The sequence below is a fragment of the Homo sapiens genome, chromosome 4, assembly GCF_000001405.40.
Source record: "Homo sapiens chromosome 4, GRCh38.p14 Primary Assembly".
In the NCBI taxonomy this organism is placed as follows: domain Eukaryota; kingdom Metazoa; phylum Chordata; class Mammalia; order Primates; family Hominidae; genus Homo; species Homo sapiens.
In genome coordinates, this window is record NC_000004.12 from 184,387,192 (window position 1) to 184,408,498 (window position 21,307).

The 21,307-nt window shown below is 46.5% G+C and overlaps 1 protein-coding gene across 1 annotated transcript in view, besides 4 other annotated features; it reads right to left on the reverse strand.

Annotated features, from left to right (window-relative positions):
• The window catches only part of IRF2 (interferon regulatory factor 2), an 86,822-nt gene continuing 66,052 nt past the window's right edge, over positions 538 to 21,307 (reverse strand). The window contains exons 6-9 of the mRNA NM_002199.4: positions 20,967 to 21,084; positions 11,724 to 11,888; positions 3,512 to 3,558; positions 538 to 1,875 (exon numbers count right to left, since the gene is read on the reverse strand). Coding sequence (NP_002190.2) covers positions 1,567 to 1,875; positions 3,512 to 3,558; positions 11,724 to 11,888; positions 20,967 to 21,084 — 639 coding nt within the window. The 3' untranslated portion in view covers positions 538 to 1,566. The remainder of the gene's footprint in view (positions 1,876 to 3,511; positions 3,559 to 11,723; positions 11,889 to 20,966; positions 21,085 to 21,307) is intronic.
• Positions 1,946 to 2,679: an enhancer, noted in NCBI's record as "NANOG-H3K27ac-H3K4me1 hESC enhancer chr4:185310291-185311024 (GRCh37/hg19 assembly coordinates)". NCBI's record gives its function as "activates a minimal SCP1, AML or CMV promoter by ChIP-STARR-seq in primed H9 embryonic stem cells {active_cell/tissue: H9 hESC(primed)}" and the evidence as "EXISTENCE:reporter gene assay evidence [ECO:0000049][PMID:30033119]".
• Positions 2,680 to 3,413: an enhancer, noted in NCBI's record as "NANOG-H3K27ac-H3K4me1 hESC enhancer chr4:185311025-185311758 (GRCh37/hg19 assembly coordinates)". NCBI's record gives its function as "activates a minimal SCP1, AML or CMV promoter by ChIP-STARR-seq in primed H9 embryonic stem cells {active_cell/tissue: H9 hESC(primed)}" and the evidence as "EXISTENCE:reporter gene assay evidence [ECO:0000049][PMID:30033119]".
• Positions 6,261 to 6,436: a silencer, noted in NCBI's record as "fragment chr4:185314606-185314781 (GRCh37/hg19 assembly coordinates)". NCBI's record gives its function as "represses an EF-1alpha promoter that drives an FKBP-Casp9 reporter gene in an ReSE screen in K562 erythroleukemia cells {active_cell/tissue: K562}" and the evidence as "EXISTENCE:reporter gene assay evidence [ECO:0000049][PMID:32094911]".
• Positions 8,247 to 8,456: an enhancer, noted in NCBI's record as "active region_22215". NCBI's record gives its function as "activates an Ori minimal core promoter by ATAC-STARR-seq in GM12878 lymphoblastoid cells {active_cell/tissue: GM12878}" and the evidence as "EXISTENCE:reporter gene assay evidence [ECO:0000049][PMID:35858748]".

The window sequence follows — 21,307 nt, forward strand, 5'->3', positions numbered from 1 at the left end:
CAGGAAAGACACAGAGTGGGGTGAACCTTGCTCACAGCAGAGAAGGAAACCAGTGGCGTGGCTAAAATACTCCCCCTCCACAGGGAATGCTCCCAACACAGAGGAAGACAGACATTTGAGATAACGGATATGCTTACAAGAAAAAAGACCCCCTTCATAGCACAGAGAATTGGGCTCAACTTGTGCCCAACTTGTGCCCTTGCCTCTTAGTGCCACTATGAGCCAAGTAAAGGCATCTTCACATTCAGTCTTCATTTCCTCCACATGAAATGGAGATGAATGCCTATTCTACAGCACAAGTGTGATGAATGAAGACGGGAAGTCATGCAAAACGCTCAGCACGGGCCCCTGCTCAGGCGAGCACTCAAGAGAAGAAGTCAACTGAAGCCTCACAGTAAGAACCTCCACGGTTTCTTGTGGTCAACAAGGGAAAACATTTTGGTCCCCAAAAAGAAACAATCCTTTGTCAGTCCTATTCCGTGATTATGCTCTTTTAAAGCAGACACAGACAAAGCCAGGAGTGATGCCCCTTAAAAATTTAACTATATATCATATTCATTTATTATCAATCCACAGGAAAATCTGATTGCTACATGAGCTCATAAAAGCTTTTTTCACCTTTACAAAATTAAAAAAAAAAATGTGCCACAAGGATGTAATAACAACTGCTGATAAACAAGAAAAGGAATCTTAAAATTATAAATTTGCTGTAGAAAAGATAAAAAACAATTATATTTTATTTAGAATTTTACCTTGAATAAAATATTCCCCTGTATAAAAAATAAAAAAGCTTGCTCTGGTTAGAATTAGAGTATTTTTGTCTTCAAATCTGGGAATTTGCATAATATTTCCATGATACTTTTTCCTTTGTACCGCGTGGCATTCAAGCATAGCAGATTAGAAGGATTTTTTTTAAAGCAGTCTGAAAATGGGACATCTGTAGAGAAATTCATTTCCTTCTTCTCCTCCGGATGTGGAATGGAAGCTTTGAGGGAAGGAAAAGTAGGAAAAGAGCGGGATGGGATGGGATGGGATGGGATGGGATGGGATGGGATAGGAAGAGAGGCTGGGGAATGGGCAGAGAAGGGGGTGCTGAGTGTGCTGTGAGATAGAGCAAGATCACAAGAAGGCCTATCTGTAAGTGCTTTAAGATAAGGTGCAGAAGCAGACTGCAATGTCGCTAGTGCTGCCTATGTACATATTCACAAGAATAAAAAATTCCAGCTAGTTCACATTATCTCGTCCGTTCTGAGGCATCCACTCCACCTTGCTGGCCTTGACCGCAGGCAATGCAGCACCTCCACTGCCCTTGTTGGTCCTTGAACTTGAGTGAGTAGCCCTGGGAGATCCAGCAGGCTCTAGAAACACACGTCTACCAATGGGCTGGAGTCCTGAGTTAAAGAGAAGCTCCAGTACTGGAGTTGGACACAGCAATCAATGTTCTATTGTCAAGGCTTTTTCCCTTAGATTTGTCTAAAATAGGTGTCAGAGAGAAAAAAATAAAATACAAACAAACAACAAAACAAAGCCAAGAAGCCCCAACAACCACCGCGGAGAGTCAGAGGCTTAACAGCTCTTGACGCGGGCCTGGGTGATATCCGATGTTTTCTTGATGACGCTGGCCCGGGTCTCCCGGTCTGGCCGACTGCTGCTGGATGCTGGGGTCATGGAGGAAGAAAGGGGGAGGTCTTGAAAAGGGGGCCAGGAGCTGTTGTAAGGCACCGGATTGCTCTCCTCTTTGATGGTGACCTGGAGGTCCGGTTTGTTGGAAGTGACGAAGGACGCCATGCCGGGCAGCAGGTAGGAGCCTCGAGTCCCCATGTTGCTGAGGTACTGTTTGCCTTCAATATTCCTCTTCCGCCAGTGTGGCCGCCCCTTTCAAGAAAGTAATTAAGATATGTATTTCCTTCTCCTTCTATTGGATGGCTTTTTAAAAATGCATCACTGGCCAGGTGTGGTGGCTCATGCCTGTAATCCCAGCACTTTGGGAGGCTGAGGCTGGAGGATCACTTAACCTCAGGAGTTTGAGACCAGCCTGGGCAATGTAGCGAGTCCTCATCTCTACAAAACGTAAGAATTAGCTAGGCATGGTGGTGCACACCTTTAGCCCCAGCAACTCGGGAGGCTGAGGCGGGAGGATCACTGGAGCGCAGTAAGTCAAGGCCTCAGTCAGCTATGATTGCGCCACTGCACTCCAGCCAGGGCAACAGAATGAGACCTTGTCTCAAAACAACAACCCACAAAAAAAATTTTAAAATGAAAAATGTGTCGTTCCCATGTGTTGGTGCTTTAGCTGAGTTTCTTAAGAACTGCAGAATGAACAAAGGCTTAGCACCTCTACATCCCTCAACTGAAATCTATTGCACCCAGCTATTCATATGCCAAGTAATGGTTTTTCTTCCCTTTTCTTTTTTTTTAAAAAATCAATTCCCATTTGCTACCTCCCAGAAATACTTTCCAGACTACTCTGTGAAGGCAGGAAAAGAAGGCAGCAGCTTGGTTTCTGGTTCCCTTGTGCTCTGCGGCTCGGCCCGATTATTCGATAGGTTTCAGGTCACCATGGCCAGTGTGGCACAGCGACTCGGTCCCTCAATGCTGGCCCAGTCAACCTGAGCCAACCTGCATTTTCAGAGAAAAGGCAGCGAGGAACTTAGTGACAGGCAATGAATGCCCCTTGATTGCTTTCAAATGGGGGCGGCTTAGAGCTCCACGGTGTACAGCAAGCAGCGGCCTCAGGGCTGGCTTCATTCAGAGAAGTGGCTAGAGCTGCAACCTTGAAGAAATCAGGCCAGGGTGTATGGGAGCGTGTACATCTGTCTTTTCAGAATCCCTGCACTTTTTCTCAAAGTGTTTAGTACATGGGAAACCACTAATTCAAACAACCATGAGCTTCCCTCTCTCTTGCTCCCTCCCTCTCTCTCTCTCATTCACTCAAGCGCAGACCCCCAGCAGGTGGCCAGCAGGAATGCTTTCCATCTCCATTCCAGCCACTTTCTGCCATTGTGCACGCCCCATCTATGGGAGGGAGAGGGGACGGGACCCACTCGGAATCGAGATGGGGCACACAACCAGCTCTGGGCACGGGTCACAGCGGGAGGGAACCCACGCACACGTGGAAGAGGCTTTTGCTTAGCATTTTGTGACGTGTACTGGTCACTGCTTTTGGCTGGGAAGGCTGCTCTATTTTTGCCGGTGAAGTAGGATGTTTAAGTGGTAAGAGCATCGGCATTTCCCAGCCTCCACTTCAATTCCCTTTTCCTGCTATCACAGCTTCTCTACCTGATGGTAACATTTAACTCCCTTTCCTCCTTTCAGTTCCAACGCCGAATTTTATAACCCCAAACCCAAAAGTATGGTAAATTCTGGTGATGCATATTTCACCACACAAGAAAATCCCAAAGTGAAGCTTGTGATCTAAAGGAAAGGTGCATAACCAGCAGCAAGGAAAGCCCGGAGCTGGTCGGGAGGCTTTTCCTTGGCAGCATCGTGGGCAGGCTGGGCAGTGGCTTACCTCGGCACTCTCTTCATCGCTGGGCACACTATCAGTCGTTTCGCTTTCTGTTCACAGAGAGAAAAACACAGGGCCATCATTCCTGTCCCTCAAGCTGTCCCCAGGCTCAGGCAGTGTTTATAAAAAGGAGACTGAGTAACTAAACGCATCACCTCCCTCCCTTTGTAAAGCGAAACATTCTACATGGGAGAAGCTAGAGTGAATTTCAACTCTGTAATCTTCGGAGAAACCAGGCTTGAGAGCTGTGAGGAGGCTCCCTTGGCCAGGGCCGGGCTGTGTATACACTGGGCACTACCTCCCAGGAAGGGGCGCTGGTCCCTGGGGCCCTCCTCACTGCAGCTCTGTCCACAATGCCCACATGGGTCCTGTCTTTCAATCCATGCCAACCAATTCATTTAATTCCCAGTGCAGAGTTGACCGTTTCCAAAAGGTCTTCCTACATTATCCCCATCCCACTCAGATCCTTCCTTTACCTCTCACCCCTTTAGGACTTAGATCCTGGATTTCTAGAGTTGCATCTGCCATGTGGGTTACTGTAGGTGGACAGATCTGGGGTGCTCCCCATGATCCTCACCTCCTTGGATTCACTTTCTTTGGGATTGCCTCCCTTGAGTGTGGATGGAATGTGTCTGCTTCTAACAAATAAGATACAGCAAAGGGGATGAAATGGATGTGATCCTGTGTCCATGATCATGTTACATAACTCAGAAACCTGCTGGGAGAGGAAACACTCTGCCTTGCTGGCCTTGATAAAGCAAGCAACCATGTTGGGAAGGCTCCTATGGCAAAGAACTAAGGACTGCTTCCAGCCAACAGCCAGCAAGAGACTGAGGCCCTTAGTCCAACAACCTGCAAGAAACTTAATTTTGCCAAAACCACATGAGCTTGGAAATGGACCCTTCCCCAGTTGAGCCTCAGATGAGACAGCAGCTGTAGCCAACACCTCCATGGCAGGTTTGCAAGACTCTGCAGCAGAGGACCCAGCTAAGCCACGCCTGGATTCGTGACTCAAAGAAACTGTAAGATCCAAATGTGTGTCGCTTCAAGCCACTAAGTTTGTGGCTGCATGGCTATGGCAGCCAATCAGTTGCCATCCCCATTTGGCCTGCCAGCTGTGAGACACTGGGCAAGTTTCTCACCTTTACTGAGCTGCAGTTTTCTCCTCTGTAAAATGAGGGCACTGCCACCATCTAAGAGGATTACATGGAGAGTGAGTGAGAGGGTACATGGGAAAGGCCTAGCAAGGGCCTGGCACACAGCACACACTCCATACATCAGCACTGCTTAACACTGGGTTTGCACAACAGGCTGGATTAATGGAATCGAAGTCTAGTGATTACACATGACCTATGCTTATAAAAAGCTTTTTAAACGTAAAAACATTTTGATTTTGTAAAATAAAATATCAATGGTGTGCGATTATTCCAGTGTCCATAACCATTGAGAAATGCAATCACAGAGGGCAGAGCCTGTGCAATATTTAGGCATTTAGAGATCACTTAGCCTGAGCCATTCGTTTTACAGACAAGGCCTAAAGAGTAACTGCAATAGCTTCTCTTCCTGATGGCAACCTTTAACTGCCTTTCCTCCTATTTAGTTCCAATGCTGAATTTAATAACCCCATACCCAAAAGTATGGTAAATTTTAGGTGACGTATATTTCACAACACAAGAAAATCCAAAAGTGAAGCTCGTGTTCTAAAAGAAGCAAACATTTAGGGAGCCCTATGGGTCAGTGCCATGTCAGAGGCTTTGCATGCAGGTCTCACAGGGGTCCCACGTCAGCAAGCAGCTGCTCTCATCCCCCGTTACGCAGAAGAGCTCTTATGCTCCAGTGCCTTCCAGCTTTCCACCCGGTCCCTGCTGAGGGGCTGGCCTCTGTCTCACATCTTCCTGGTGGCAGAGCTGGGATGAGATGGCTCCAGCCCAGACAGAGCCCTTTCTTCCACTGAGAGCATTAGCCCCAGACCAGGCTCTCTATCAATTAAAGGCAAAAGAACAAATGGACAAACTGTGCCACAGGTGCATTCCTTAAACAAGGAAAGTAAGAATGTGGACTCCACTGGTCCCAGCCTGGAGTCTCTGGGCCTGTTTCTCAGCCACTGTTCTCCAGTAACTTCACACAAACCTGAGTGATCGCGGTGGGCTGGCCATGAGCATGCAGAAGACAGATCTCTCCACTCCTCGGACTGGGCATGTTTCCCCAAAACACCCCGTGCTGGGAGCCACAGAGACCCAGAGAAGCCCTCAGCCTCAGCTGACGACGATCCCAGCTATGAAGATGAGCTGACGTTGCCGAGCACAAGAATTGTTTCCACGCAGAAACACATGAAAACCAACAGAAAAAGAAAATTCCCCTCCTCAGAGAACCCTCGTGCTGGCTCAGTATCCTGAGGAGGCAGGAATCGGAACAGCCACTCCCAAGAAGAAAAATGAGGAACAGAGATGTTGAGAAACTTGCCAAAGTTGCCAACTGAGACAGCACAGAGGAGAGAAAACAAAACTGTACTTCTGATTCCAGGGCCTGTGCACTGCACACAGCAGCCCTGCTTCCCTGGTGTTCTGGTCTCTGACAACATTTCAAGATCCGCTTTCCATTTTATGCTTAGCTTTCTTTGTGCTCCAAAGCCAAGCTTTCTCTTCCTTTCATACGGGTTCAGATGCTCTTCACTCCTAATGACTCTCCATAAATATCACTGTCTTCTTTTCCTTTCCCCTCCAAATACAAACAAAGATACGCAACCAAGCATGCTTTGGGGGCTGGGATTCCAGCACAGCCCCAGTCGCAGGTGCAGGAGGGGCTGGAAGTCAGATCCTGGGGTAAGGCTCCCGGGTAAGACCTTGCACCGCCCATGAATGTGACCGGGATGCTAACTTCCTTTAAGTACCCAGTTTTCAGCTTCGGGGAAATAGCTGCAGATAAGAAAAGATACACATGCTCCGAACTTATGTTTTCAGCTGACACAAATGCGAGTTAAAGAGCGTCGTGTCTAGATTAAGTTCCACAGCATCTGAAGTCGTCAGGAAGATGCGCCCTATTAGGACACTGACAGTTTCAAAAAGGGGCCTTCAGTACCTTAGCTTAGGAGCAGAGAACCCTGAACCTCCCCCTGAGGGGAGCAGTTCTCTCTGTGACCCCAGAATCGGTGGCTCCAAGTGCTTTGTTGGATGCACTGCGCCCCGTGTCCTCTGTTTCCTTGGTTTGACCACCATTGCCACTTCCACGCTGACTTCTTACACAAGGGAGCTGACTGCAGCTGGGCCTCCAGATCAGTGTTACTATCGAACTATCAACATACGTTGTCATTTCATTTTCCCTTTTGATTAGTTTGAATTTGTTTTTGCTTTTTGTTTATTACTTACTTCGAATACAATGGAATAAAGAAGTCTGGAGTTGCTTCTCCAGCAACTCCAAACAAATGAAGAAGCTGAAGGTGTTCGTACAGTACCAACAGGCACATGAGTAATTCACTTAACCTTTCTGGTCTCAGTTTTCCTGAAAGCATCTAGGGTGGGAGGGAAGGGGAGGATTTGGATTAGATGATCTCAAAAGCTCTTCCAGTTCTAGGGTGACACTGGTTGTAGGTTCACTCTCTATCCAGTCCAGTTTTTAACGCCTCGCTGAGGATATACATATTGTCTAAGCAGGAACACTGCGGGAAGGGAGAGGATGCATTTTCACCTGAAAGGCTTTTTGCACTCTGACATTCTGCTACACTTTCTGGAAGGCTCTTGTTCAGCAAGTTTGATTTGAATTTCTTTCTATTGATCATATTCTCAATTACTTTCACCAGGAGTAAATTATTTTCAAATCGGAATCCTCTTAATCTCAAAGCGATTGTGTCTTTGCTCTGCCCAACAAAATGCAAGCCTGGTGTGGTTTCCCGAAGGATTCAAAGCCTTTACTGATGGCTGCTGGTCAGCAGGCGATCTCCACTCTCTCATTATAGCCAGTGAGTCCTTCAGATGATGTTTTCTTCTCGAGTCTACTCTCCAGCCCCTCTTACCCATCCTCCCCCACCCCATTATTCTACTGTGGTTTTCTTCTACTAAACCATCAACCACCTAATAAAATTCTGATGCCACAGATCAGGCAAGGGGTCACTTTGTAATGCACCTTTAAACATGACATGTCTCTCCGCCAGAGCTTCCCAAAGTGGCACTTTGAAATGTCCCTCCCTAGTATGAAAGTTTCACAAATCACACTAGAATTTTATGTTGTCTTAAAACATCCAACGCAAGTACTATCTCTTCTCTTTCTCATCATAATATTTAGACCACAGAGGAGAAGACAGACTTGCAAAACTGAATGTGGTTTTGTAATATACTACTGGGATTATGATTCAACGATCAGTAGGGGGAAAAACTAGCAAACAGCAGCCTCCAAATACCAGTTTCCCAAACAGATGAATAAAGGTGGTCAGAGCATGCCGGGCGCGGTGGCTCACGCCTGGAATCCCAGCACTTTGGGAGGCCGAAGCGGGTGGATCACGAGGTCAGGAGATCGAGACCATCCTGGCTAACACGGTGAAACCCCGTCTCTACTAAAAATACAAAAAAAATTAGCCGGGCTTGGTTGTGGGTGCCTGTAGTCCCAGCTACTCGGGAGGCTGAGGCAGGAGAATGGCGTGAACCCGGGAGGTGGAGCTTGCAGTGAGCCGAGATCGCACCACTGCACTCCAGCCTGGGCGACAGAGCGAGACTCCGTCTCAAAAAAAAAAAAAAAAAAAAAAAGGTGGTCAGAGGAGATTGAAATTCAGATGAACAGCCCAAACAAAGGAACTCCATCATGAAAAACAGGCAAATGGCCGACTCTACTGGAGAACATAAAGCAAGAAAGGTGAATACACGCAGAAAGCTGCCTTTCCTGACAGCATGTTATACAATTTCTGACGGAGGAACTAAAATTAGCTACAGTCAGTAGCAGGGAAATGTTTTACACCACTGTGAGCTCTAGAACATCAGCAGCGATGGAACATTTTGCCTCCAACCAGTAAGCCTCCCTCCACGAGGTTCTGGAGAATCCAGACAATGAAAACAACGGAAAGAACCAAAGGCCAGGCTGAAAAGCCAGGCTCCAGCAAAACCTCCTGTTGACTGCCATCCTGGCACTGAAATCCTTCCTTTCAAACCTATGCAAATGTCCTGAAGAGAGTAATGAAATGTTCATTTCTCTCTGCATGGATCTGCTGTTCTCCGGAATCTTTTGCTTGAGCAAATGCCACTGCTGGCAGAACAGCAAGAAGAGGTCTTTCCAGAATCCCCAAGAAGACCTCAGAAAAGTCTTACTCAACAGATAAACATAGAAGTCTATTCTAAAGCTCCAACCCCCTAAAAAAAGAAGAGAGAAAGAAAACCACATGGAGTGTAACGATGCCTGCAGCAGCAGGCTATAGAAGAAAGTCATGGGTTTTTAGCCATAACTATGTAAATATAAGCAAAGTGGCTGAGTGTTTCACGCTTCGGTTAGCTCTACTGTAAAATTTAGGCATAAACATTCTGCTCTGCCTCCTTTGGTGGGTCCTTGTGAAAATCAAATGAGATCACGGGATGTGGCTGTGTTCTGAACGGCAGAGCCCGTGCGCTGTCCAGGGCAGCGACACAGGGCGGGCGTTAAGGACCGGCCTTTGGCATCAACGGCTCATGGGTTCTAGCTGTGCTCCCAATCGTTCCTCCCTCAGACACGCTGCTCTACCCACGCCAGCCGCAGATCCATATATATATATTTTTTTTTCTTTTTTTTTTTTTTTAAGACAGGATCTCGCTCTGTCACCCAGGCTGGAGTGCAATGGTGCAACCAGGGCTCAATGAAGCCTTGAACTCCTGGGCTCAAGGGGATGCTCCTGCCTCAGCCTTCCAAGTGGCTGGGACTACGGGCACATGCCACCACACCCGGTTAACTTTTTTTATTTTTTGTAGAAGTGTGGTCTCACTATGTTGCCCAGGCTGGTCTCCAATTTCCGGGCTCAAGTGATCCTCCCACTTCAGCCTTCCAGTGCAGGGATTACAGACGTGAGCCACCACACCCAGCCAGATTCCTCACTTTTAAAAACGGGATGATGACGATACCCAGGCTGACAGGGTTACTCTAATTATAATTAAACAAGTCAACTGTATCATACCAGGCATGGCAGCTCATGCCCGTAATCCCAGCACTTTGGGAGGCTGAGGCGAGCAGATCACTTGAGCCCAGGAGTTCTAGACCAACCTGGGCAGCAAGGCAGAACCCTATTTCTATTAACAACAACAACAAACAACAACAACAACAGTCAACTGTACCCAAGCACTGAGCATGGTTCCCAGGGCACAATAAATTTGCAAAACATAGTAGTTCTTGTGACTGCACTCTGGCAAGGACCAAACAGGGACTGGCACGTGTAAGAGTCCAAAACGCATTTGCTGAATAAAGCACCGAAGACAAGCTTATCCTGTTTGACAGATTATAATCTTCCTGTGGCCAAGGTCTATTCTCACATTCCACTTACGCTCCTAGCATAAATGCACACTAGGACCTATGCTAAGTGAAATAAGCCAGTCACAAAACAACAAGCACTATGATTCCACTCATAGGAGGTACCTAGAATAGCCAAATTCACTGAGATAGAAAATAGGCAGGAGGTTGCCAGGGGCTGGGGTGGAGGAGGGAAAAGAGGACTTAGTGTTTAATGCAGACAGAGTTTCAGTTTCGCAAGATGAAAAACGTTCTGGAGGTGGATGCTGGTGATGGCTGCGACAACATTAATGCACTGAATGCTACTAAACTGTGTACCTAAAAATGGCTAAAATGGTAAATTTTATGTTAATGTATTTTACCACAATTTTTAAAAGTGAAAAAAAAAAGAAAGTTGGCATTCAGGGAAAATGAGATTAGACTTAGTGGCTGATAATTCACAAACAACAGTCCTTTGAGTCAACTCTAATTCCAACGCTGGTCGGAGCCAGTGTTGGGGGTGGCACCTACTGGAGGACATCCCATTTGGCAGCGTGTAAAGAGCACAGGGAAGAATCCCTGAACTATTTGCTAGAGCTGAACTGCAGTTTCCCAGGATGGGGACTCTGCTTTTTATTTTTAATATCTGCAAGCAGTAACACTGACTCAGAATTTATATTTCCTAATTACAATTGATTTCCACAAAATTCAATGGAGATCATCAGGAAGAGAGGAGAAGATGAAGTAATGTTGGCGAACGAGAGGAGCCATCCTTTTACTCTGGAAGAATGGAAGAACCAACTGGATCTGTTCCTCCCCCTGTGACTCTGCCTGGGCCAACTCCTGTCATTATGTAGCCAAGTCCCTGGAGAATTGGAAATGGCTCAGTCATCTGGCCTAATTAGAACCTGTACTAGATATAAAAAGAAAGAGAAAATATGTGGAAAGGACAAGTACGCTTGGTGGATGGAATGGATCTAGCAATGAGCTTGGGGTCTGAAGGCTGAGGTCAAGTCCTGGCCCAAACACTTGCTGACTGTACGACCCTGCGCAAGCCCCTTCCCTTTCAGAAATGAAGGAACAGGAAGAGATCATCTCTAAGGTCCTATCCAGCCTGCTCAAACTGAGAATCCATTAAAACACTCTGCCAAATTTCTAATAACTTGGGCTAATAAATTAGACTCTGATGAACTACTGCCCTAAAGAAATCTTATCTGTAACCATATATAAAAATGTTATGGGAGGCCAGGCACTGTGGGTCACACCTGTAATTCCAGCACTTTGGGAGGCCAAGGTGGGCGGATCACCTGACGTCAGGAGCTCGAGACCAGCCTGGCCAACATGGTGAATCCCCGTCTCTACTAAAAATACAAAAATTAGCTGGCATGGTGGTGTGCGCCTGTAATCCCAGCTACTCAGGAGGCTGAGGCAGAAGAATCTCTTGAACCTGGGAGGCGGAGGTTACAGTGAGCCGAGATCATCCCACTGCACTCCAGCCTGGGAGACAGAGCGAGACTCTGTCTCAAAAAAAAAAAAAATAAATAAATAAATAAAAAATGTCATGGCCAACTGAGTAAAGAAATGCTGTGATCCTGTCCTCTACCTGAGAACAAAAGTGTCCAAGAAGATGTTGATCAAGATAATTAAAGTATGAAAAACTCCAGGGAGAATAACTCCTAGGACAGAGGAGGGATGCTCCGTGGGGTGGTGAGATGGGTGACCCTAGACCAAAGGACTGCGCGGCCGGTTCCCACGCCTCCCGGAGCCTCCCGCTGACGCTTACCTGCATAGGAAGACACGGGGGAGATCTGCAGAGGGTAGAGCTCGCTCATGCTGACCGGCTGCTCGTCGCTCTCAGTGGTCACCTCTACAACTTGGCAAATGTCTGGCGGATTGGTGACAATCTCTTGATTCTCAATGTTGCTGTCCAGATGGGACTGTCCTACAACTTCAAAGAAAAGACAGCCATCATGCAAAGTCTGCTGACCTCACAATTCTAGCACACTTTCTCAAGAAAGAGTCTTCCCCAAAAGAGCCAGGTCGCCAGGCTCCCATCACCATCTGTCCCCTGCCATGGGGCTGAAGAACACGCCTGAGCTCTGTAGCTCTGGTGTGATGTCTCCCAGGGAGCAGCCGGCCAGCACTTGGCTCCCCAGGTCTATCTCCAGCATGCCTGCCAATGGCACGCACGGTGGCCATGTCCTTTCCAGCTCAGCAGAATTCCACAGTCAACCCCGTCACAGCCGAGGCCACAGGACCAGAGGCGGCATCCAGCCCCAGCCCCAGGGCCAGACATGACAGTACTTTGAACCTGACCGATTTCTGCTCCCTGCTCTTGCTCCAAAAGAAGGCGCTGTGCTTATTTTCTGGGTTCTACAATCCAGGGAGACATTATCAAACCTTACTAAAGAGGAAGGGCCATGAAAATCTACCCAATTGTGTCACATCTAGCTGTGTGAATGTTTGTGTTCAGGTTTTGTATGAACATAAGTTTCCATTTCTCTGGGATAAATGCCCAAGGTCCCCATCTAGCTGGGTGGCGCTCTGCTTACGCTCCCAGCTCTCTTCCTGCTCTACAGGCAACATGTCCAACTGGCTGAAATATCAGCACAATGGAATAGAGTCAGATCTCCAATTCTGGCAAACATTAGTAGCATCAGCTCCCCGGAACACTGATAAGATGGATTCTGACCACCCTGGCTCTGAAAACTGCCTCAAATATTTTTCTTATATTGTTTATTTTGAGATCATTGTAAACTCACATACAGTTGTAAGAAATAATACAGAGAGATCCTGTGTGCCTTTTACTCAACTTCTTCCAATGGTTATAGGCTACAAAGCTAGAATACAATATCGCAACCAGAGTATTGACATAAATAACAATCCACCCATCTTGTTCCGATTTCCTCAGTTTTACTTGCACTCTTTTGTGTGAGTGTGTACCTGCACCAGGACTAAGTGCAATTTTATCACACATAAAGGTTCATGTACCTACCACCACTGTCAAAACACCAAACAGTTCCATCACGACCAATCTCTCTCACGTTACTCTTTGTAACCATAGCCACCTTCCTTCAGTACCTCCCCATCCATCTCTTTGTCCATGACCCCTGGGCAACTATTAATCTGTTCCCCATTTCATTAATTTGTTCATTTCAAGGATGTTATATTAATGGACTCATACAGTAGACTTTTGGGGCTGGCTTTTTTTTTACTCAGCATAATTCACCGCAGAGTCACCCAAGTTGTTGTGTGTATCAGTCATCGGTTCCTTTTCAATTGCCGAGTAGTATTCCACGGTATAGGTGTACCAGTGTGTTTATTCTCCCCTCTGAAGGATGTCTGAGTTGCTACAAGCCTTTGACTATTACAAATAATGCTGCTATGGATGTTTGTGTTCAGGTTTTGTATGAATATAAGTTTCCATTTCTCTGGGATAAATGCCCAAGAATGCAATTGCTGAGTCATATGGTAATTTCATGTTTAATTTTACAAGAAAATTGCCAAACTGCTTCCCGGAGTGACCGTGCCATTTTACATTCCCACCAGCAGTGTCTGAGTGATCAAATTTCTCCACAGCCTCGGCAGCATTTCGTGTCATCACTGTTTATTTATTTTGGCCATTCTCATAGGTAAGTCATGATGTTTCATGGCCATTTTAATTTGAAGGTCCCTAAGGTCCTGCCCTCATTTTGAATGAAACTGACCTCATACCACTGTTAGTTGGATGAAATGTCCCTGAAAATTAGCTTCAATAAATAAAGGTGAAGAAATAATTCCCAAGGTCCTCAAAGCACTTTGCCACCATCATCAACGTTTTACTCATACCTGTATCTGTTATTTTAACATTTTAACCCATAAGGATGACAGAGAAAGCATCGTTATCCTGTTATAGATGAAGAAACTCAGGCACAGAGAGGGAGAGTGACTTGTCCAGACTCGCACAGCTTGGAGTATATGTGGTGCTCTATGTTGCAGTCATTTTCTCACCAATCGGCAAAGTATTCAGGTTAGAACGCATTCCAGTCTCCTTGAGACGCCAGGCGTCATGGAGAGGCTCGTTTTAATCACTCCAAGTATTTTATTTTCTGAAGTATTTTTGTTTATAAACAGGTTCCTGTTTTAATTGCTGTCTGTGGAGTGACAAGCACATTATCTGATTTCTACGCAGGGAAGGTTTTAGAGGGCAGTGGCAATTCATAGGTTCTTTAATAAAGAAAGGAAAGGCACAAAAGAGGCTCAGAAAGGGGATTTGGGGCTGTGATACAAGAGTCCAAAAGCCACAGCATACAGAATGGAAGGGAAACCGGATCCTGTTTAGGTTTTCCTGGTGGGGATAAAATTAAAGAAAAGGCAGGCAGGCTATATATGGCAGGCAGACTCCCAAGCCCATTTATTTCATCCTTTGGATTATCCTACGTGAGGGTGAGGACATCAATTATGCAGGTCACTAGACACAGACTGACGCTGACCTACACCAACCTCTCTCTAGTTTCCTCTGCCTCTTCCAGCCAAGTAAAATAAAATGGCAGGAAAACAAGATAATGGCCTGCCCTATCCTAAGTCCTAAGAAGCAGCTGGTGGGTGGAGGTAGAAACCAAATGGGGTGTGAGAGTTTGAGGAGGGAGGGCGCAGCGATACCTTGCATACTAAGGCAGTGAAGGTCTTAGATAAATGTGACTTAAGTCAAAGCCATTTTAACTTCCAATATTTCAAAACTCATCTCTCCTTTGCACGTTGCTCCTAACAGAAAGAGGGCAAGCCAGCTGGGACTACAAACAATGGCAGCAGCTCAAGTATCCCCCTAGTCAGATCCCTTTGTTCCAACCAGGAATTCTTTCTCTCACTGCTTCTCCCCATGACGTCCTAGTCGGTTATTCAACTAACAGAGATTTATGGAACACCTGCTTGCACCTCCCAGCCTCCCAGGGCTAGAAGGAGCAGCGGAAGATCGATGCAGTCAAGGATCCGGTTTGTAAGAAGTTCATATACATGGCTATAGGCCAGCGACTAACCATCTAGAGAGTCAGTTTAAGGCCGTGAGCACTGAAAAGAAAGAAAAGAAAAAGAAGGGGGCCATACAATGGAAGCTAGAGAAGTGGGGTGTTTTTTCCAGTTTGAGGAATCAAAGGCTTCAATGAGGTAGTGGCACAGGAGTGGGGGTTGAGCAACAGGCAGCATTCACCATGCCCCTGACTTCTGGAGCCCCTTCCTGACCCGCCAGCACAGACTGGCCTCTCTCCCCTGGGTGCCTCTCACTCACTGTCCCCGTCACTCGGCCGAAACTACGATGGGCCGCGACCTTGTGACACTTCTGACCTCAAGTTGCTGGTTAACGCTATATACCCGTATGGAGCTTTGAGTTGGTCAATGGCATCTCTCCTCAACCAAAGTATGAACTTTTTGTGTCCAGTCATGACACATGCTCACAACTCCCACCGGAGAGGCGCTCAGGGACTCTCCCCTGAATAAATGGACATGTGATGGGGCCGAGGCTCACTGACTGGAGCCAGAGTGGAGTCCTGCAGGGGATTGTGACAATCTGCAAATACGGGACGTGACAATTAATGTTTTCTAGAAAAATGTCAAGACTTCTGACAAGTGGACTCTTGAAACCTTTGGGAAGTGATAAAGACAGCCGGCTGTGGGTGCGAGGGCTGGGGCCAGGGAGGAAACGTGTTGGGGTGATGAAAATGTTCTGTCTTGACTATGGTGGTAGTTACATCACTGAGTGCGTCTGTCAACATTTATAGGACCGTGTGCCTTAAAAGGGGTGAATTTTACCGTATTTCACTTAATATACATGACTTGGGGAAAAAAGTAGATAAGCACGTCCATGCAGATTTTAGGTGTATCCTGAATGCGGCTGACCAGGAGAGAAAAGTCAGTCTGTTTTCTGGGCTATGATCTGGATACCAAGTTAATATAATTACGTTATCTCTCAGGCCAAATTCCCCCATAGGAGTGTGTTGCTTTATGCCCTGGTAAGGGACAATGGCTTCTCTCCATCCAGACATCGTGGGTACTTTAGAAACTTTCCAGCTCTCGAGTGAAAGCCCATGAGAGAAGCAGGGAAATCCCAATATCGAAATGCTCTCAGATGAGCATCAACACTCTCACTAACCAGTCTCTATCTGTTTCTCTCTCTCTCTCTCGACATGTGAACTGATTTCCCTGGACCACCAAGCGGCAAAACAGACAGCAACACTGACTCCTGACAGGTGAAAAGACAGGAATAACAAACTTACCTGCTACAGTAAACAGTCAGAAGTGGCACTCCTCTGGGTACCAAAGAGTGTCCTGACTGAATAATGACAAAACCTGTCTTTCTGAGCACTGATCTTTGCCTCTCCCTACCACCTCCCAAGACCTCACAACCCATGAGGAAGGCACAATAGTGATCCCCATTCTAGACATGCTGAAACAACCATACAAGACAGAACTACATGACTAATTCAAGGTCAGACAGACAATCAGCAGCAGAACCGGGATTCAATGTTAGCCTTACCCAACTCCAAATTTCAACTCTTTATAATATGCTCTCCCTAACAGAGAGAGTTAATGAAGTCCAAACTGAGTTACTGAGGGCTTTCTTAGCCCCTCTCAGGATAAAAACTTTTGAATCTCACCTTAGTGAGTCTCCAGGCTCAGAACTAATAGTGACATTTCTTTTCAACAGTTATCTATTGTGTGCCAGGGAAATTCTCAAACAGAAGAACTAGAAATCCACTAAGTTTCTCCAGTTTATTAAAGTCAGCACATCTGAAAAGAGTCACCCACAGGAATGCAATTTTATCTGAATCTAGTTGCTGAGAATTATAACAATATTATTTATGGCTGGTTACTGATGAACCGGTTTGCTTCTTTAAAAGGTCATTCTCACTTTATTAGCAATTGTTGACTTAATGTAGGTCTCCACCTGAGAAAGCAACTTGCTCCCATGCCTCAGAGAAAGTGCTTAAAAGCAGATTATTAGAAACAGAGGGGTCCTTGGAGGTGGTTTGGTCCTACCATTTTACAGTTGAAAAAAGCTGAAACCCAGAGCTCAGGTAAATTGCTAAGGTCACCCAGGTAGCTGCAGAGTCAAGAATGAAACTTACTAGCAGGCATAAAAAATCAGGCCATCAGCAGAGCATCATGCAGGGAAATTTCCCCTGACCCCTCTGAAAGTTTCAGGAGTTAAACTTCACACCAGCCTTGATGACATGGCACAGATGGAGGCTACTTTTCTTAATCAAATATATTTTAATATGATTTTGGTAATATGATAATCATATCATTTTACCCCCTTCTAGCCCCAGAGTGATTTATCTGTACATTTCACTTCATCCTCACAATAACTCTGCGAGATGGGCAGGATCAGTACGATTATTTCCATTTTCTATATAATTTTAAATATTTCCATTTTATAAATAATTATATATTGTTTCCAATCTATATAGAAATTGAATTTCAAAAGATTAAGGAGTTTGCCCAAAATCACATGGTAAATAAAAAACTTCAGAAGCAGGTCTAGAACCCACGCCTTTTGACTTCTAATCTCGTGCTCTTTCGGTATAAAATACAGCCATGATTTGGTTTAGGCACTCGAGAGCCATGGTGGGAGAGAAGATCACCGCGGGGCCGGTGACTCCGAGACAGGGATCTGTAGGTGCCTGGGCCAGGCTGTCCCTGACTACAGGCTGCATACACCTCACCAGGGTGACAGAGTGCAGGAGGAGGCAAGAGTGGGACAGGGCAGCGTGCACCTTGCACCCCGTGAGAAAACAGCATCTCAGGCTACTACACGAAGGGAAGCACAGGATGTATCCCAGTAAAAACTCAGTAGAGGCCAGGCGCGGTGGCTCACACCTGTAATCCCAGCACTTTGGGAGACCGAGGTAGGTGGATCATTTGAGGTCAGCAGTTCAAGACCAGCCTGACCAACATGGTGAAACTCCATCTCTACTAAATACAAAAAAAATTACCCAGGCATGGTGGCGCATCCCTGTAATCCCAGCTACTTGGGAGGCTGAGGCAGGAGAATCGCTTGAACCCAGGAGGCGGAGGTTGCAGTGAGCCGAGATTGTGCCACTGCACTCCAGCCTGGGCAACAGAGTGAAACTCGGTCTCAAAAACAAAACAAAACAAAACAAAACTCAGTAGAGGTAACCAGTGTCTCAAGGGTCAATGATCTGGGAGCGGAAGTGTGGATGAGACGTGTTGGGCTGGAGCTATACCTCCTGCTGGAACTGCCACGTGTCCACCCCTCACTGTGCCCTGTGGACAAAGCCTTTGCAGCTGCTCCACCATAAGGAGACCCACCACCAACCTCACTGTCTCTATGAGCAGCCACAGGGAGCTTAACTCGTTCAGAGTAATTCAAGTTCAAAGACAGGTATGAAAGCAGTGGGCAGGGCCTAGATCATGCCAGACCCCGGGGACCTGGGGGAACTCAGCTCCTTCTCTTAGGGGCAGTGGTGACATGATGACACTGGCATTCTTTATTTTGTGAGAAGAAGAAATGGGGAGCAGAATGGAAGCAGAGCCCAGGTGACAGCCAAGGCAGGCCCACACACAGTGTCAGAAACAAGGGGATGGACTTGAGAAGTACGGTGAGGGAAGATAGGAGGAGCTGACAGCTAATTATAAACGAGGCAGCGGCAGCCAGGGAGAGAGGGAAGGAGAAAATAATATATAGCCTCACACAAAGATGACAGCTTTCTTGAGTAAATAAAAACTTCTTAAGGCTGAAAACACAGCAGCCCAACTCCACTGCCCAGGTCTCTCGGTTGGCACCTGGTGACTGAGGAGTGGCCCCACAGTCTCACCTCAGTGCCCAGGTGCTCCAGGTCCAATACAGCCAAGAATAAAGTATGTTGTTGTGGGTTCTGTGTCTGGGCATATTGCGATGTAAGGGTTCACATCTCATATGGAGTTTCATCTTGCTAAGAGCATTCTAGGGGTGTGGATAAAATCGAATGCCTTGTCTCAGGCCCCTTCTCCTAAGGGGTGAACAACTCAGCTTCCAGGAAGAAGGCATGGGCACAGCTGACAGCATGGGTGATCTCCTAAGAGGTGGTGCCTTCCATCTAAAGACTCACCCAGAGCTACTTTTTATCTTTTTTTTTTTTTTTTTGAGGCAGTCTCCCTCTGTCACCCAGGCTGGAGCGCAGTGGTGCCATCTTGGCTCACTGCAACCTCCGCCTCCTGGGTTCAATCGATTCTCCTGCCTCAGCCTCCTGAGTAGCTGGGACTACAGGCACCTGCCACCACGCCCAGCTAATTTTTGTATTTTTAGTAGAGACAGGGTTTCACCATATTGGCCAGGATGGTCTTGATCTGCTGAGCTCGTGAACCACCCACCTCGGCCTCCCAAAGTGCTGGGATTACAGGCATGAGCCACCGCGCCCAGCCTCAGAGCTACTTTTTATCTTATAAATAAAATTTCTATCTGAAGCACAATAAAATATGGCAAAAAGAAGGTGAAACAAAGGATATGGGAAGAGATGAAGACCCAGGGTTCCATAGCCCTGTGTCACCGCTGGCCATCCTGAAACCACGGCAAGTGCTGGGGCCAGAGTCTGCCAACCTTGAGTTCAAATGGGTGGCCCTCGTGGGGACCCTAACACTGGTCAGTAAGCTGTGAATCTGCTCTCCTGTGCCTTCAGGAGCCCATGTTGATACTTGGGTTTGCAGGCTTGCCTTAAAAAGCGGCTTGAGTTTCACCATAGATAAAGACAGGCAAGTTTGGAAACAATTCCCGAAAAAAGAATATCCTACAGGGGGCACTTTGAGCAGCCAAAATTAAGACAAAAATCCCAACTCCATGACTTCCTAATTGCCGTATGTCTAGTCACTACAGACTGCTCTAGTTACTCCACAGTAATGAATAGACTCTCTGGTTTCATAGCAATCTTTGCTTTATTAAAGGGTGGGGCTGTGTTTTATCAAGAAACACAACAGGGTTATAGAGCACTGCCGAGACCAGTCAGACAGAATGTCCGCACCTGCAAACTTTTTACACTGCCCGGGAGATGGTTTAAATACAAAAAAAGCACTGCTAACCTCGGCAAGAGGCCAGCGGAGGCCTGTCAGGACAATTCAGCATGCTGCTGGCTTCTTCCGTTTCCCAAAAACAGAAGTCACCATACACACAACAAAAATTCAATGCTGAAAGAAAGTAAAAATAAAAAGGAGTTTTTTCTTCTCCTTCCCCTTAAAGGGAAAGCAGGCTGAGGTCTTTTGGGCACTATTCCTGTGCATCTGGCCATACAGGAGAGAAGGAACATCAGAAGATGTGTCTTCATTGTAAAGAGCCTGCATCTTTACAGGGGGTGCAGCTAGCTACATCTGGAAGTTGTTCAACTGTTACGAAGGAGGGAAAACACTGCTCCTCTGAGACCTCCAATCTAAATTTGGTGCCTTGATTTTTCTCTCGCCTTTCTTTTCTTTTGCAGTATTTACCACACATGGTAACACTGCAGTTATCTGGGGGTGTCTTTGTTTACTATCTCTGTCCCTCCATGAGAAAAGAAATTGGGCCTCCTCCATCTATTTCCTGCTCCTAGTACTGAGTCTGATATACAGAAGGTGCTCAAAAATATCTGCTGAATCAGAGTGGGCCCTTTGGCAACATGTCTCTGTGCCTCAGTTTCTCTGTCTGCCAGGAAGCAGTTGCTGAGAGGACTCGCGAGGACCATCTTCCCTCTCCTTGGTTCCCGAGTTAAATAAATACTCTTTTGCCCACGTGAACCAAATAGTGAAAGACTGGGATCGCTAGCCACGAGCCGCCGGGAAACAAACATTTTTCCTGGGAGGTCACCCCAGCCTTCTTCCACGGAGGCTGACCCGTCTAAGTTCCTTTATCTGATCCTCAAAAGCCTTCGTTTCTCAGCCTTGAAATCTGGGGGCTGGAACTTGCATTCTGAGATGATTCCAAGACCTCCTCCCACTGACTATGTTATTTGAAGTTCTCTGTTTTACAAATTTTAGGCCCCAGGGGGCTGCTGGTATGTATAAAAAATGAGACGTCAAAACAGTTTACCTATGATGTTCACCGTACTATCCACTTCATTTTTTATAGTTGAAGTCAGGACCGCATACTCAGGAGAAAGATCACTTACTCCATTACTAAGCCCCAGAGATGACTCAACTGGTTCTTGCTAGGAAGAAGAAAAGAAAAAAGAATTGAGAACACTTCCTTTCCCCTCCCTTCTCTTAGCTGAAATTCTACCCTCTGCCTACTTTCTTTAATGCTAGGGTCATTCATGTTCAGCTGCCGAATACATTCATCCCCTGCTTCTTTAAACTGGCCTGTTTTAAAGCACATTTCTGCCCAGGGTGCACTGCTGGGTATTCAGCTCCTTCCATTTTCCTTCAAGGAAA